The following is a 16958-nucleotide window of genomic DNA, read 5'->3' on the forward strand; positions in this document are numbered from 1 at the left end:
ACATCACCCCATCTCTCCTCTCAGTCTTTTCAAAATTCAAGGACCCCATGGCTCTCATATATGGCCCCAAATAATTTTTAGACTCATAAACTTTTTTTCATACCACAAGCAAATGGCTCCAGGAAGCAAGCAAATGTTATATGAGGTGACAGAGGTGTTCTTTGCCCTTGTGGAAAATTGTGGCTGTGCAGGAGGGCTCTGGCCACCTATTGAACCCACTCCTGTGCTGTCATGGGTGCTCCTATGACCTAGAGAAGGGCAGAACCGATCATGGACAGGGTTTAGTGTCAGCTGCAAGCCACCTTCATAGAGAGGCCCTGACCTTTAGTCCACAGAAACAAATAAAGAGATTAAACCTTATTTTGGAAGGGAGATTGCCAAGACTGTTTCTGGCAAAGTCTGCCCACAGGAGATGATAAAGTCACCCAGGGATAACGCCCCCTTGCTGGTCCTCTGCTTATTTTAAGGTTCCTTCCAAGGGGCAATAGAAGGCATCATAAAGTGATTCACACCTGTTCAAACACAGATCATTTTAGGGCCAGCACTGACCACTCCTAAATCCCTGCTCATTTAGGGAAGTAGGAAGGATTTTAGCACAGCCCATTCATTATGGCAATATTTGCCCTGGTTTTCCCAGGACTGAAAGGTCTTGGAGGGCATTGAATTTTCAATACTAGATCCAAGAATGTTCCAGGAAAACCAGGACAAATTGGTCATCTTACTACAACCCAACACACCACAAAACTTCAGGGTGTTAACTGATCTATAAAACTTAGGGCCAGACGCTGCCATAGGAGTTCACAGAGTACAAATAATTTTTGTGTATTTTAGATGTGCTCTTTAACAACCAAGTCATAGCATTTACATTCTTCCTGTTACAAACTCAATAAATATACTCATTGTCTCAATGCAAAAAACCCAAGTGTATAATCCAGTTAAATATACATGAATACTCACAGCTTGTGATGGTTAATTTTATGTGTCAACTTGGCTAGGCATGGTAGATATTTGGTCAAACATTATTCTAGATGTTTCTGTGAATATATCTGTAAGATATTAATATTTAAATCCAAAGACTTTGAGTAAAACAGATTACCTTTCATAATGTGGGTGGGCCTCATCCAATAAGCTAAAGGCCTTAATAGAAGAAAAAACTGACCTCTCTTGATGAAGAGAAGATTCTGCCAGCAGACAGCCATCAGACTTGAACTGCAACTCTTCCCTGGGTCTCCAGCCAGCAGATTTTGGACCAGCACTGCTACAATCATGTGAGACAATTCCTTAATATTTATCTTTCTATCTATCTATCTATCTATCTATCTATCTATCTATCTATCTATCTGTCTGTCTATATCTATCATCTATCTATTCATGTACCTATTACTGATTAAGAAAAAGATCTTACTAGAAACCAATAACCTGATAAAGTTGTTTGTTTGGACTTTTAAAAACTTAGAGGGAATTTCCAGCATTACCCCATAATTTTGCAATAACCACTTTTATTCAATATTTGTTGAGTCCTCCTGTAGCTGATCACACACTTGTGTATTTAGAATACAAATCCAACATACTGTATGAACAGAAGACATGGGGGTACATACTGTGCAGGGACGTCCTTTACAGACACCCAGCTTACTTCACTGAATCTTGACTCGTCACATAGACTGGGTTATTTCTTGGCTCCTTAGGTTCATAATTTCTACTTTCTTAGTCCCAGGTACAGCCCCTTTCATGGCCACCTGAATCTCAATCCAGTGGCTTATCAGCTTAGATTAACAATGATTAACAGAGCTCTAGCCCTTCTTTCCTCCTCTTCTTTAGTTCATCATTAAACTGATGTGCATTTATTATCTTCCTGGAATCTCCCCAGTGTGTTCTTCTGGATTCTTCTGAGAGGTAAAATTAAAGTTTTCTTGCCTTTACCCTGTAACACTATTGTATATGTATACAGACACATAGACACACACTATTTGAGTTTTTATTTAATATGAACAAATGTGGAAAAGCTTTCTCCTCATTTTCTTCATTCCACATCCTGGTTCCGAGGCAGCTGATCTAGTTGGCAGGGGCTGCTCTTTCCTCAATGACTCTGTCTTTCTTGGAGGAAACAGGATGAGCAGCCTCAGAAGAGTCTGCCTCACTGTACATCAAGAACACGAGAATCTTAGCCAATATACACCCCTGGGGCAGCACGTGCAGGCTGTTCCGAGAATCAATGTTGGAATCAAGATGTGGCTCTTGAATCACCGCCATGCCCCAGTGCTTTTGCTAGTTACACTTCATCATGACGTACTCTTTGGACTGGTTTCACAGAAATGTCTTAGTTCTCCCCTTGAGGGTGGAGAGACATCATGATAGAGCCTGAGGGCCAGTGTGATTCTTGCACCATGAGTACTGTTACCTCACAGGGAGCCTGAAGAAGAGCGGGGGAGAAGCTTGTCAAAATTTCTTTCTTGTGCCACTCAGACCTGATATCTAGATCTCATATGATGACAGGAAGTTCCTGGCACAAGTCCAGTCCTTCGAGGTAATGGTCAGTTGCAATCTCTGTAAAGGCTTAAGGAAGGTTAGCAGGCCAAGGCACAGTCTTACTGCTGCAGCTGGTCCCAGGGCACTACTGATATGCATTTCCTTATCACCCGTTCTAGACTTTCCTCATCCTTGACCAATATTTTCATCTGGTTTGCATTCTTGCCCTGTGTGGTGATAGAGACCTTCATCCCTGAGGAGTTTCAGCCTTTAATTGTCTTATTCCTGTCAAGTCACTTTTGATACAATTTCCCTTTATTTTATTTATTTATTTATTTATTTATTTGAGACAGAGTTTCGCCCTATCCCCCAGGCTGGAGTGCAGTGGTGCAATCTCGGCTCACTGCAACCTCCGCCTCCCGGGTTCAAGAGATTCTCCTGCCACAGATTCCGGAGTAGCTGGGATTACAGGGGACTGCCACCACACCCACCTAAATTTTTTTGTCTGTTTTGTTTAGTAGAGACAGGATTTCACCATGTTGGCCAGGCTGGTCTCGAACTCCTGGCCTCAACTGATCTGCCTGCCTCGGCCTCCCAAAGTGTTGGGATTACAGGCGTGAGCCACTGTGCTCAGACACAATTGCCTTTGATCGATGAGACTGGACACAGAAGAACTAAGAGAAGCCCGTGAATCCTGTGGGTTCTAGACATACTTCTCTCTGTTGCAGCAACCCTCATTCCTCAAGGGAATCATCATCAATTATGCCTGACAGTACGGTAACTCCTTTTTTTGAACACTGGCATATAGAGTCCAAGGTGGCTTCAGTGGATGTCATGGCAGAAGAGTTTCCACCCTGGGAACTAGGATCACTAATCTAGCAGAGACTAAGTTTGTGAGAGTGAGGAGCCCAAATTCTGAAAGTGGATCATTTGGAGTTACAGTGGAACAAGGTTGATCTTATATCCTGTATCTATCATCCTTCTAGCACCCCTTTGTCTGTCTACCAATCTAGCTATCTAACTAATATGTATTATGTATTACATATGCAATCTATCTGCCTAATATATATTATCTATCTAATATTTTATTTATCTATATATTATCTCTTATCTATCCAATCAATCTTACCATGAAGGGCAGCACCCCAACCCCACAAGGTGTGATCTCTTTGCAGGTACTTATGCTGAGCCTTCCATGGGCCTTTCATTAGTCTCTCAAGCTAGTTGCTTCTGAGGAATAGAGTACACTTTAAAACTCATGACTCCATAGCCATGAGCCTGTCGCTGCACTTCCTCTAGTTCTTTACTCTGAGGAAATGTCATGTGTACAATGTTAGCAGATCAGGCATTTTGCAGGTCCTTAGATGGTGGTGTTGGCAGAGATAACACCGCCACTTCCCTGTGGCAGGGAAGACAGATCCTTCTCCAGAGTGTCAGTTCAGGTAAGTGTGAATCACTGCTCTTCTAAGGTGAAAGGGGTCTGATGTATTTGACCTGCCGGTAGCTGGCTGGCAGGTCTTTCCAAGATTGGAGCCATATCAAAGGCTCAGCATCAGTCTCTGATCCTGGCAGGGAGGGAATTCAGCAGCAGTAGCTAGAACAGCCTTAGTGAGAGGGAGTCCATGTTGTTTGATCCATGCTCAGTTTCCATTCTTGCCACCATAACTTGCAGCCCCATTGCACAAACACTGGGATGACTCAGTAGGAAGCTGGCTGACATTCACAGGGCAGGTCATGCTGCCAACTTGGTTGTTGAGAACTTTGCATGAAATTGCTGTTCTCTAATGGGTATTCATATGACATAAAAGGTCTGCATGTATTGTTTCCACTCCCTAAGTCTCTGTACATGAATATCTGCTAGACATCCTTGTCCCATGTCCTTGAGTCTTGACTATTTGATCAAATCATTTTCATTGCTCAGGACTCAGTATATATTCTTTCCTCAGGCCACTTCTCCTTCAACATGAAATGATAATCAATTTTATTGCCCAATTGGAGAATTTCTCTCAATTACTTTTCTTCAGGGTCAATCTTTGGTGAGACTTTAGTACAGCAAAAGTTCATTTCTGGCTAGCACCAACATATTTCACCAAACTTTGTGTAAACCAAGCCCTTTGTCCTTCTGTCGGTCGGTCACAGGAAATCCTCAGTGATGACATAGGAATGGATTGATGGAAAGATGCTGGCACAAGAGAGATAGATGAAATGGGCCTAGGCTACCTGCTGATACAATTTACAGAGGTGTCCTGCATTGACATCAGTCCAGTCCAGTCCAATCCTCAATGTACCTTGTCCATCATGTAATAGATTGCTGCCATAGCCCCCCCTGCCCATATGATTTGGTAGATCTGATCAACTCAGCTCATGATAAGCAGCTCTGGTTTCACAGAGACTTGGTGTTCCATGATGGGAACTAAATTTTTATTTGTGACTAGTGTCATGCTGTTTTTCAAAGGGAAATTTATTCTGTTATATATATTTCAAAGCCATATAGATATGTCTTCACTCCAGAATCTCAGTGGTCTGTGCTATGATTTTTCTAATGAGATTTTTTTCAGAGATTCTATATAGCATTCTTACCCCTAAATACCTTGAAATGCTTCAAACTAGATGAGACATATGGCTCAAGAGGCAGGGCAGCTTGTATTGCAACTTGGTCTTTCTGCAACTCCCTGTCTTCCTCTGGACCACATTTGAAGCTGGCTCTGGTCTACACGTGTGTGTGTGTGTGTGTGTGTGTGTGTGTGTGTGTGTGTGTGTATAGAGAGAGAGAAAGAGTGAGAATCCAACATTTAGTTGGCTGTCTCTCCAACTCACTCCTAGTAATGTTATAATTCATTATCCATCACTACAGTCTCTGTGACTCAAAGCACGCCCCTGGCAAGATTGTTCTGAGATGTTACCATGATCATTGGCCTGGAGGCAATGAGATGTGGTGGTAGGCAGATTGTGAAGAGAACAAGTACTGTCTTATAGTACATCGAGTGATATAACTGCATAGTCTCCTACTGAGGAGACTGCATAATCTCCAGAGAGGCAGGGAAATTTGGACATTCAAGATTATTAGATTTGTCCACTCAAATGTCCACCTTGCAGGTTTCAGGTTCCTACTCTTTCCCTATCAAAGCCTTCACATTGACACAGGAGACATTTTAAGGCTGTGAATTTTTTCTCCTTTGTAGGTTTGCAACCCTATACCATGAAACCCTGAACATGATTTTCTTCCTCCATCATTTGCCCTGCAGCTGCAGTAGATAAGAGGATTTGGAAGGCTACCATAGAGGCCCTCTGACTTTCACAGCATATTTTAAGTGGGCAATTAGCTTTCCTGAGTCTGTTATGCCTTTTTGCAAATCTTCCAAAGCCATCAAAGGCAGCCACCATGTAACACAATCCTTATGATTATCGTTCCCTCTGTACTGATCAAGTACACAGCCACTTGATATGCCAATACCTTGCCTTCTGCCTATACCACATAACATATTGGCAATTGTACTATCACTGCATGCCAGGAATCCGGGCCACCCAGTTTGCCACCATCGGTGGAGACCCAAAGTTCTCTTTTGGAGGTCTGCTTTCTAAGGACACCCATTGAACCATGTCTTAGCCTGGCTTCCCTAGACAACAGAACTTGAGACAAAAATTTGTGTGCTATTACTTCAGTGTAGGGTAGAATCCCAGGGAAAAGGAGACATGAGACAAGGAACGAGGAAGAGCAAATACAAGGAAGTGCATTACCCAGCTAGCCAGAGCTTCATAGCAACACATTGGCTGCTCAGTCTAGAGAAGACATCTCCAGAAAGACCATAGGAGAATGACTGCATCTTGGAACAGTCCATCAGGCCAGGAAGTCTAAAGGGCAAGCAATTTATGTGCAGGCATTCCCTCATGTCTTGTCTTCCATTGGTAAGAGTTCACGAATTTTGTCTACTTTCTCTCACATCTGAGTTGCATCAACTCAGCACCACCTCAGGCAGCCCCTGGAGCTTCTGGAACTCCATTCCAGGCAGTGTGTGGCTTCAGTGGTTTCTTCTTTAGTTGGTGATGTCTGTTGAAGCTTCTCCTCTGTGGGGATGACCCGAGCAGAAACAGACTTTGGACTGCAGCAATGGAATGAGCTATTGCTAGGATATTCCTGGTTAAGGGAGAAGGACTGTAAGTAAAGCCAGGCTCTGGGGGCAATAAGTGAGAAAGAGTGGATCTGAATGGCACATAAACTGGGCCTGGTATATTCATTTTCTCTTTAAGGAAATAAAGCTGAATGTTAAAGTTAAGCCCACTTCCTAAAGGTGTAACAAGTTTGTGCTCTACCTCTCTAAATAAGAGCTTTCCCACATTTTAGAATTTCATAGACTCACAGGACTGGAAACTTCTGTGCAAATCATTTGGTTCAGCCTCCATATTTTTCAGATGAGAAGCACAAAGTTTAGAAAGTTAAGTGACACTTTCAAGTCAAACAGTAAATGGGGAAGCAAGAAGGCCTGCCTTCATTCCAGTCCTCATTCCACAATATCACACTGATAAAGCAGATGAAGGGGGAGTCATTTGCACTCCACTTTTGCCTTTATTAAAGTCTTTTGAAGGTGTTGGTTTAGTGAGGTAATGTCTCAAAGCAGTTTTAAGAACACTGAAGGAAAGATGTTATGTACTTTTGAAATGCAATTGTTGGTTTTGGAACAAAAATGTTTAAGACAATGCCAGCCTACTTTGTTGATGAACCAGAGTGAGTGTTACAAGCCTCTACATTTCCAGAGGCAGAACCTCATCTTTGGAAGTGAAATAGAATACAACACAAAGAAAGAATGCCAGCAAACAAAAGTGAGTATGTCAGATCACAACTACCTCCCTTTAATTCTGAATCTATTAGGTTGGTGCAAAAGTAATTACGGTTTTTGCTACCATGTTAAGCAATTCACAAGGATTGGCTCAGAGATCTTCCTGTGATCTTTGCATTCACACCTAAGTGGAAACCTAGTACCCTATGCCCTCTTTAGGACAGCTATCAAGGTGACATTTGTAGCTGTGGTAAGGATCAATAAGCAGCTAGAGCAGAAGCTGCCTGTTCCGTGAAAACAGCCTAATTTCTAGCAAATCTAGTTGCTTTGCTCTTGGTGGACACATTAACGACAGTGACATCTGGAAATTCTTGCCCTCCTGACACATGTGCTAAAGGGTATAAAGATGTGAACTCCACCTTCTGACAGCCTTGATTTCTGTGGCTACTGAAGCTGCAATAGAATGAACCAATCTTCTTCCATGTTCCAAATATTATCCTAGAAAATGTCTTGTTTTTGTTTTCTGTCTGAGAAAATAAAACAAATCTGGCTTGTTAAAATCCATTTCCTATCATGTCTTAAATTAGCCTGGGACCAATTTGTTTGAATATCTGCTCCACCTCTGTAGGGGAAAACTGATGAGCAGGCTTCGAATTTCCACAAGTGGGTGCCAACCACGGTGTGCCCTGGCACTGGCTTGGGATGCTTTCTGCCAAAGGCAGGGTTTCACTTCTGATTTCATGGCAAATCAAACCCTGAATGAGAAGACAGCTATAGACAGGAGGGAAAACAGTCTCTTCAGTCTGTCAGCTCTTCTCCTAATATTCCTCTCCACCCCAGAAGAATCCACTGATATGTAACAGGAAAAATACAGACTACATGCAATTCGGGGAAGTGTGAGAAAACACTTAGGTAGTTTCCAGGCAAGACTATCATATCAGCAATGCAAGTAAAGCATTTGAAATAGTGATTATACTGTGGAAATGATACTCACTTCCAGGGCCTGCCAGGTGCTACTCTTGATGCTGAAAACAACCTCTCCTGGAATGGAGGTAATAGTGCACTTACTTTTGTGTATGTAGATTAACCTATTTTACCCCTTTTAGATGGAGAAAGGCTATTGCCCTCCTGTGGTACCATGAGGCTGAAGACTGACAAATATATAATCACGCATTTTTTGTTGTTTCCTGAATTATGCAGGATGTTTTCTCCAGTGAATTCTACTGTGGAGGCTTTCTGAAGTGTCAGAGTCTATTACCTGCTGCCCAGGAAAATCTATTACAGGCATGCACAAGTGGAGCTGAAAAATAGGTCTTTACTCACTAACAGAGACTGAGCAAGAACTGCTAAATTGTACCCTCCAGCAGTGTGTTCTCGGCTTTTTCTCTCCTTCTTTATGTATGCTTAACAAGGAAACTTGTTGAATGCACATGCTTCTCAAACCTGGGCTTCCCTGGAGGTGCAGTAAAGCCTACAGAAATCCAGAAGGGGCAATCTCCAAGTCTTTAGTAAGTACTGGAGGACTTTCTGCCTCTCCTTTAAGATACATCCTTAGTAGAGCAATTTGAGTAACAGCACTAGCGATATTCCTGGCATGTCTGATATTATAATAGTTATTGTCTCTGAGTGCACGTTGAGGGTCCCAACCTCCTACACAAACATGGATGCAAAGTTATCACCAAAATGAGGTCCAGGAATATTTTTAGCACTATGCATTGAAGTAGAGAAACCATGTCTAGCACATGTCTGTATAAATGCAGAAATGCAGAACTGTAGTATAATATCATAATGAGGATACTGACATTGGTACAATCTACTGATCTTACTTATATGTATAGAAATCATGTCATTAATAAAATATACATTCTTTAAAAATAATAGATTCTAAGAAACAAAATCTCAGCTATTCATGAAAGCATATGCATGGGTGCATTAACTATAATACAAAAATGGCTAAAAATAAATTATGTCACACCTCTTAAAGCATACTATTCAAATTATTATTGGCTGATGGAATTAGCATGATCTTTGTTTTATTTTACTTATTTTGATTTCTACATATTTTCAGATCTACCATTTAATACCTCTTTTATGATGAAGACAAAAATCTTTTTAAAAGAAAAGAAAACAAAAGGTTTCTTTTGGCATGCCATGAACACACAGCCTGAGAGTAAACATTCCAGTAGCTAGAATGGGCCAGGCATGGTGGCTCACGCCTGTAATCTCAGAATTTTGGGATGCCCGAGGTGGGCAGATCACTTGAGGTCAGGAGTTTGAGACCAGCCTGGCCAATATGGTAAAACCTCGTTTCTACTAAAAATACAAAAAATTAGCCAGGCGTGGTGGTGCACACATGTAATCCCAGATACTCGGGAGGCTGAGGCAGGAGAATAGCTTGAACCCGGAAGCCAGAGGTTGCAGTGACCCCAGATCTCACACCACTGCACTCCACCCTGGGCAAGAGAGTGAGACTCTGTCACAAAACAAAACAAAACAAAACAAAAAACAACACAAATCCTGAATAGCTAGAATGGTCAGAATTACCTTTAAGAGGGGCTGGTTTAGTTGACTGACATGTGTTGTTGATTTGGTTGTTACTCCATCAAACTATAACTCCATCAAACTATATATGTAAATAAATGTTATACACATAGTTTATACACAATGTTTATATGTATATAGATAATTTTACATATTTTGTATATAATTATGTAATATACAAAAACATAATATAATTCTATATAACTAAAATAATTATAAAATAATATCTAATTAAATTATTATAATTATGGAGTTATATGAAGTTGTATGAAACCAGACAGAGAGATTCTTAGTACACTTTACCCAGTTTCCTCCCATGGTAACATTTTGTTAAACTGTAGTCTTTATATAATATCACAACCAAAATATTGACATTGATAGAATCTACTGATCTTATTCAGATTTTCCCAGTATTCCCATATTCATTTGCATGTGAGCACGTGTGTATTAAATTGTATACAATTTTATCACCTGTATAGGTTGGCGATCACCACAGCCAAGACCTGAACAGTTCCAACATAAAAAGGGTCCCTTATGTTACCCTTTTATAACCACTTCCACCTCTTTTGTGTTACTCCCCCAGTCTAATCCCTGGCAACTACTAATCTGTTCTTTACTTCTGAAGTTTTGTCATTTCAAAAATGTTATGCAAATGGAATAATGCCCTACGTAGCCTTTGGAGACTGGCTTTTTCCACTCGGCATACATCCCTGGAGATTCATTCAGGTTGTTTTAGATATCTCAAGGGTCTGTTTCTTTTTGCTGTTTTGTTGCGCTAACATGTTATACTTGTACCACGGTTTAACCATTGACCTGTTGAAGGACACTTGGGCTGATTCCCATTTTTATAAGTAACAGCTATTTACTTTTATAAGTCAAGCTGATTTACTTGTAACAAACGTTTGTACATGGGTTTTTGTGTAACCATACGCTTTCATTTTTCTAGGATAATGACCCAAGAAGTGCAATTGCTGCTGGATTATACGGTAGTTGCATGTTTAGTTTCATAGGACACTGCCAACGTGTATTCCAAAGTAGCCATATCATTTTACATTCCCAGCAATGTGTAAGTGAGCCAATGTCACCACATTCTCCCCAGCATTGGGTATTGTCACTCTTTTTCCTTTTAGTCATTCTGATAGGTGTGTAGTGATATATTACTGTGGTTTCAATTTGTACCTCCCTAGTGACCAGCGAGGTTGAATATCTTTTTATATGCTCATTTGCTATCTCTGTGTTCTCTTTGGTGAAATGTCTAATTTTCTAACTGGAGTGTTTGTTTTTTCAAGTCCTGCATTTTGAGAATTCTTATTATAGATACCAGTCCTTTGCAAGATATGTGGTTTGCAAATATTTTCTTCCCAGTATATAGCTTTTTATCTTCTTACATAAGCTTTCGCAGCAAGTTTTACATTTTATTAGGTTCAATTTGTTGATTTTTTCCTTTTATGAATTGTGCTTTTAGTGTCACATCTAAGATCTCTTTACCTAGTTCTAGGTCCCAAAGACTTTCTACTATGAGTTTTTTCTGTAAACATTCTATAGTTTTATGTTTTACATTTAAGTCTATGACCCATTCTGAGTTTTTGTTTGTTTTGTTTTGTTCAGAGAGGGGATCTCACTCTGTTGCCCATGCTGGAGTGAAGTGGTATGATCTTGGCTCACTGAAGCACATTATTTTGAGTAAATTTTTGTGTAGAATGCAAGACTTTTGTCAAATATCCTCTTGTGTGTGTGCTGATGGATGTTCAGTTGCTCCAGCAGCATTTGTTCAGAAGTTACCTCCATTAAATTACTTTTGCAACTTTATCAAAAATCAGTTAAATAAATTTGTGTGGGTCTATTTGTGGATGTTAACAGCCTTTTGCCACAGCATCTACTTCCCATGGAGAGGTGGAGAATGGAGAGTTACTGTCATGAAAGAAGAGAAGTGGAGTTATTCAGGTAATTGATCCAAATGGAGAAGCAGTGAGTGAGCACAGACCCTGGCCCTTACAGCAAACATCTGTCTGGCAATTGTTGAAACATCAGGCCTGAGCTTTTTAAAAAATCATTCTTGTTTAAGGCATGCAGCAGGAGATTGTAGTGAAGTCTCTGCCTCCCAATAGTCTCTCGCTGTTTTATCACTTAAAGGAAACAGGGCTCTTTTGATTCCCTACTATCTTCTGTGACAGATAATCAAAGACTAATTTTTAGTCTTTGAGCTTTCAGTGTTTGCCAGATGTCTTAGTCTGTTCCAGCTGCTATAACAAAATACCATAAACCGGGTGGCTCACAAACAACAGAAATTTATTTCTCAAAGCTCTGAAGGCTCAGAAGGCTGGGAAGACCAAGATCAAGGCACCAGCAGATTTGGTGTCTGGTGAGGGGCCTCTTCCTGGCTCACAGACAGCTGCTTTTTGCTGTAACCTCACAGGGCAGAAGGGGTGAATAAGCTATCGTTCTCTTGGATAACAGCACTTGAATCTCTTGGATAACAGCATTAATCCCATTCAGGAGGGCTATATTCTTGTAAACTAATTGCCTCCCACAGGCTTTACCTCTTAATACCATCACATTGGGGGTTAGGATGTCAACATATGAATTTTGGAGGGACATGACATTCAGACTATTGCACCCGAGACTACAATTACCACCTTCGAAGTACTATTTCCCCCACCCCAACTCCCGGGTGCTTATGTGTTTGCACGTGCTCAGACTGGGTGTCTGAGTGGGATGCCTCTTAGGTTTTTCATGCTGAGAGGTCATTATGAACCAGAAGAATCCCATAAATCATTTTCGTGAGGAGTAGTCCTGACTCACCTTACGTCAGGCAGGTACTTCACTGTATTTTCTCTGAATCAGTATGATCAGATGGCTTCCCATATTCTTTGATCATTAGGAGCAGTGTTTGGAGGATGAACTGACTCTAATCTGGAATTCTCCCCAACCACAGTTACTTTCACTTTCACTCTTTCCACCTTTACCTTTCTCTTAGATACTAAACTCTTTTTAATCAGAATAATCTACAACATAGATGGGTATACACAATAAACACTTAAAATGGCTTGGCGCGGTGGTTCATGCCTGTAATCTCAGCACTTTGGGAGGCTGAGGTGGGCAGATCACAAGGTCAGGAGTTTGAGACCAGCCTGGCCAACACAGTGAAACCTCGTCTCTACTAAAAATACAAAAAAATTAGCCAGGCGTGGTGGCGGGCGCCTGTAATCCCAGCTACTTGGGAGGCTGAGGCAAGGAGAATCACTTGAACCTGAGAGGTGGAGGTTGCAGTGAGCCGAGATCATGCGACTGTACTCCAGCCCGGGCGACAGAGCAAGACTCCATCTCAATAAATAAATAAATAAACAAACAAACAAATACTTAAAATGTTCTTAATTAATCTTGAGAAAATGAATCACCTCTTTCTCCTCCTGCTCCGTAAGGTATTTATCCCATTCTGTCCTCTGATGTCTCCCACGGCAGCCTCTTACTTCCCATGGGAAAAAAAATCTCATTCTCATTCTGTCTCTCTCTCTCTCTCCCACTTCATGTCTTCCTCTTCCTCATTATATTTTAATCAAATTTCTTCTTGTCCTTCTTTCAGTTGTAGGAATCAATTCTAATTTTTGTAGTTTGAAATATTTGTGAAGACCAAAGCACCTATTTTCATCACAGATCCTTGAAATTTTAGCTTCTTAGACTACATGAAAATAGTTTCCACATGCAATAGCAAATCTATTCTCAAATTTTTTTTTAATTCAAACTAAAAAAAATTTTTTAGAGACAAAGTCTTGCTATGTTGCCCAGGCTGGCCTCAAACTTCTGGGCTCAATCATTCCTCCCACTCTGGCTTCCCAAGTAGCTGACACTGTAGGCGTGAGCCACCACACCTGGCATATTCTCAGGTTTTTGGCAGTGGTAAATAGCATATGTTTATTCTGTCAGTCACCTAATAAATATATACTATCTACCTACTATGTACAAGATACAGTGCTGGCACTGGATGCTGTCAACAGTTTCTGTGCATTTTTGACTTATCACAATCCAGGCCAGGTTCATTGCCGTAAGCAACATGCATAGAGGCCAGTGAAGGACCCACTCATTAAGGGGCACTTCAGGCAAAGTGTACAAAAGAGCTCCTTGCTCACACAGGAAAACAGCTGTGTGGCCCTAGGCCTTTCTGCTTAGACCACATAGTATTTATTTTGCTTTCTGAATCACGCCCTATGGTGATACCTGCAGAGTTTCTTTGCCCCCCATAAATATGCCCACCAGTCAAAGGAGCAATTATTTCTCAAGAGATAATTTTCAGTCCATAACAATTAACATGCTAAGGGCTTTAATACGTAATCTCATTTCATTTAATCCTTACAACATCCCTCCAAAGCTGTTATTATTATTATCCCTACTTTTACAAATGAAGAAACTGAAGCTCAGAAAATGTGGAAATAAATGAAGATCACCCAAATGATAACAAGCAAAGACTGTTTACTGAGAACTTGCTACAGTGAGGAAGTTGGCCACCATCACTTGCACTGGGCAGAGATTCTAGCAGGCAGAGGAGTGGGAAAGCTTTATAGCAGAAAAAAGGGAAGTCTTCAGGTACGCCCCAACTGGAGGCTATTGGCATGGGGAAGCTGTAGGTGAGACAACTAGAAGTGGGACATCCTATGTGATTGTTGAGATGTACATAGTTGGCTTTCTCTAGTTGGTCCTAAGTCGAAAGCCGGGGTGGGTGAGGGGCAAAAATGTGGAAGTTGTCAGTTATTAATCAAACCCTGGCCATTTTGGGCCAATGAGAGTTATTGTTTATTTCATGGACTGCCTGCTAGACATAGTAGTCTGACTTCCTGAACTGGTTACTGTAGATAGTAGACTGACTTTCTGGACCGGTTTCCTCGGGTTGTGGGTCAGAATTTTATTTTCTATGTGTGGTGTGGCCATTGTCCTTTTGTATATCTAGTCTCTCAAGTTTTGAAACAACTTGCTCATGAACAGATTTCAGAATTAATATTGAAATTCATGATGCAATGGACAGTATGAATTTTACCATCTCAAAACATTGTCTCTGTGGAAGGACCCCAAGGAAAAGGGTAGCAGAAATAACCAAGTTGGCAGATGTGATCATGCTTCAGCTGAATACCTGCCAATAGTGGACACTGTCCATTATTTTCCCATCAAACTTCATCCTCCTTGCTAACCAAAGGCTGACTTTATTCAGTTATTAAATCCCTTAGTTAGCAGTAGGATTGACTCAGGAGAAATTTACCCTTTCTCCAACTCTAGGAATCTTGTTTTTTTCTAAGACAAACAACATGTGACATTGCCCTGGTTTCCTTCCCCTCCACCCTCCAGGCATGAACACGTGACCTGATTTGGCTCAGAAAGAATGGAAGAGGATAGGAGTATTTCTCTTTCTGGCTGGGTAGCAACAAAGAAGAATACATGTGCCCCTTGTTTCTGGTTGCTATTATTGACCATAGGGCAACCAGCCTTAGGTGAAGTCAATGCTGTGGATAACAGAATCAAAAGGCAAAAAAGAACCTGGGTTCTTTATGACATCAATAAATCACTGATTCAACCAATTTTGTAGCTGTCCTTCCTCTGGGCTTCTGTTCCATGAAATAATACATTTTCTCATTGTTTAAGCAAGTTCGAATTGGGTTTTCTGATACTTAGAGCAAAAAGCACCATAGATAACACAGCAGCCTAGCCATGAGTCTTTGCCTTCATACTGTGTCCCAAGTCCAGTGGTAACACCTGTGAACATTCAATGGCGCAAGGTGGTTAAGAGACATTGCACTAGACTCAGAATGCCTGCATTTGAACCCTGCTCTACCTCTTTTAATTGCTGACTTTGGGCCAGCTACTTAGTTTCTCTGTGCTTCACCCCTTTATCAGTAAACTGGGGAAAATGATAATACCTAACTTATAGGGTTAGGATTATAATAAGGGCTAAAATATGTCAAGTGCTCAGAAGAGTGCTTGGAACATTATAACAGCATTAAAGTGTTCGTATTATTATTAAACACTTAGCAAATATTTTCTTAGCTTTCTTCCTTCCAGAATTTAAAAAAAATATATTTACATCGTTGAAACTTCATTTTCATTACTGAATAATTACATAATGATTCAAAAATCATTTTTATTACTGAAGCCACTTAAGTCCAGTTTTTTTTTACCTCTGATTCAAATGCATAGCTGGGCTTCAGCATCACAGAAGCAATCATAAAAAAAGGATCACTCTTTGCCTCCTTTCTCTAAACCCCTCGTGTTCTGACAATTGACATTTCCACCCTGTGTGGAACAGACCCATGTTTGCTTTCACTTAGCCTCTTCTAATGTCTTTTAACCATCTTTTTTTTTTTTTTTTTTTTTTTTTTTTTTTTTTTTGAGACGGAGTCTCACTCTGTCACCCAGGCTGGAGTGCAGTGGCGCGATCTTGGCTCACTGTAAGTTCTGCCTCCTGGGTTCAAGCCATTCTCCTGCCTCAGCCTCCCAAATAGCTGGGACTATAGGCACCCAGCACTATGCCTGTCTAATTTTTTGTATTTTTAGTAGAGACTGGGTTTCACTGAGTTAGCCAGGATGGTCTCTATCTTCTGACCTCACGATCCACCTGCCTCGGCCTCCCAAAGTGCTGGGATTACAGGCGTGAACCATCTTAATAACTGCCATGTCAATATCTTCTTTTAAAATTGTTGAAAAGCTACTGCTATAGTAGCAGTGGCAATGCATTCTGAGGGAGCTGCCACATAGCCCATTCCTGATTGCACCTGTGGTCTGCACCCCTCGTCTGTGATGATATCGAACCAAGAAAAGGAAAACTTACTACCCAAGAACTTGCTCTGTGTTTAGTACTATCCTAGTTGTTTTCACTAGTTCTTGAAGAATATTTCTATTAATAGCATGCATACAATTTAAGTGATTTTTAAAGAGTTTTGTGTCAGTCAGAATAACCTAAGTTATATACAAGTAACCAAAAAGCCCCCAATTTTTGTTGGTATAGAGTAACAAAGGCTTGTCTTCCCCTTCAACCTACATATCCACTTGAAGTAAGCGGGGCTGGGGGATCAGGGTCTATATAAGGAGTCTGCAAATGTTTTCTTAAAAGGCCACTTAGTGAATAGGCTTTTAGGCTATATGGTCCCTGTTGTAACGACTCAGTTTTGCCATTGTCATTTCAAAGTATGC

At 40.8% G+C, this 16958-nt stretch overlaps 1 long non-coding RNA gene across 1 annotated transcript in view, besides 2 other annotated features; it reads left to right on the forward strand.

Moving 5' to 3' along the window:
- The window catches only part of LOC105373804 (uncharacterized), a 29389-nt gene continuing 13572 nt past the window's right edge, over window positions 1142–16958 (forward strand). The window contains exon 1 of the long non-coding RNA XR_923707.3: window positions 1142–1268. This is a non-coding gene — a long non-coding RNA (uncharacterized LOC105373804). The remainder of the gene's footprint in view (window positions 1269–16958) is intronic.
- Window positions 11731–12930: an enhancer, noted in NCBI's record as "BRD4-independent group 4 enhancer chr2:192053185-192054384 (GRCh37/hg19 assembly coordinates)". NCBI's record gives its function as "activates an origin of replication core promoter dependent on BRD2, P300/CBP, MED14 and CDK7 cofactors, and independent of BRD4, by STARR-seq in HCT116 cells {active_cell/tissue: HCT116}" and the evidence as "EXISTENCE:reporter gene assay evidence [ECO:0000049][PMID:35650434]".
- Window positions 13701–13898: a silencer, noted in NCBI's record as "fragment chr2:192055155-192055352 (GRCh37/hg19 assembly coordinates)". NCBI's record gives its function as "represses an EF-1alpha promoter that drives an FKBP-Casp9 reporter gene in an ReSE screen in phorbol 12-myristate 13-acetate-treated (for megakaryocytic differentiation) K562 erythroleukemia cells {active_cell/tissue: K562(+PMA)}" and the evidence as "EXISTENCE:reporter gene assay evidence [ECO:0000049][PMID:32094911]".

The sequence above is a fragment of the Homo sapiens genome, chromosome 2 (assembly GCF_000001405.40).
Source record: "Homo sapiens chromosome 2, GRCh38.p14 Primary Assembly".
In the NCBI taxonomy this organism is placed as follows: domain Eukaryota; kingdom Metazoa; phylum Chordata; class Mammalia; order Primates; family Hominidae; genus Homo; species Homo sapiens.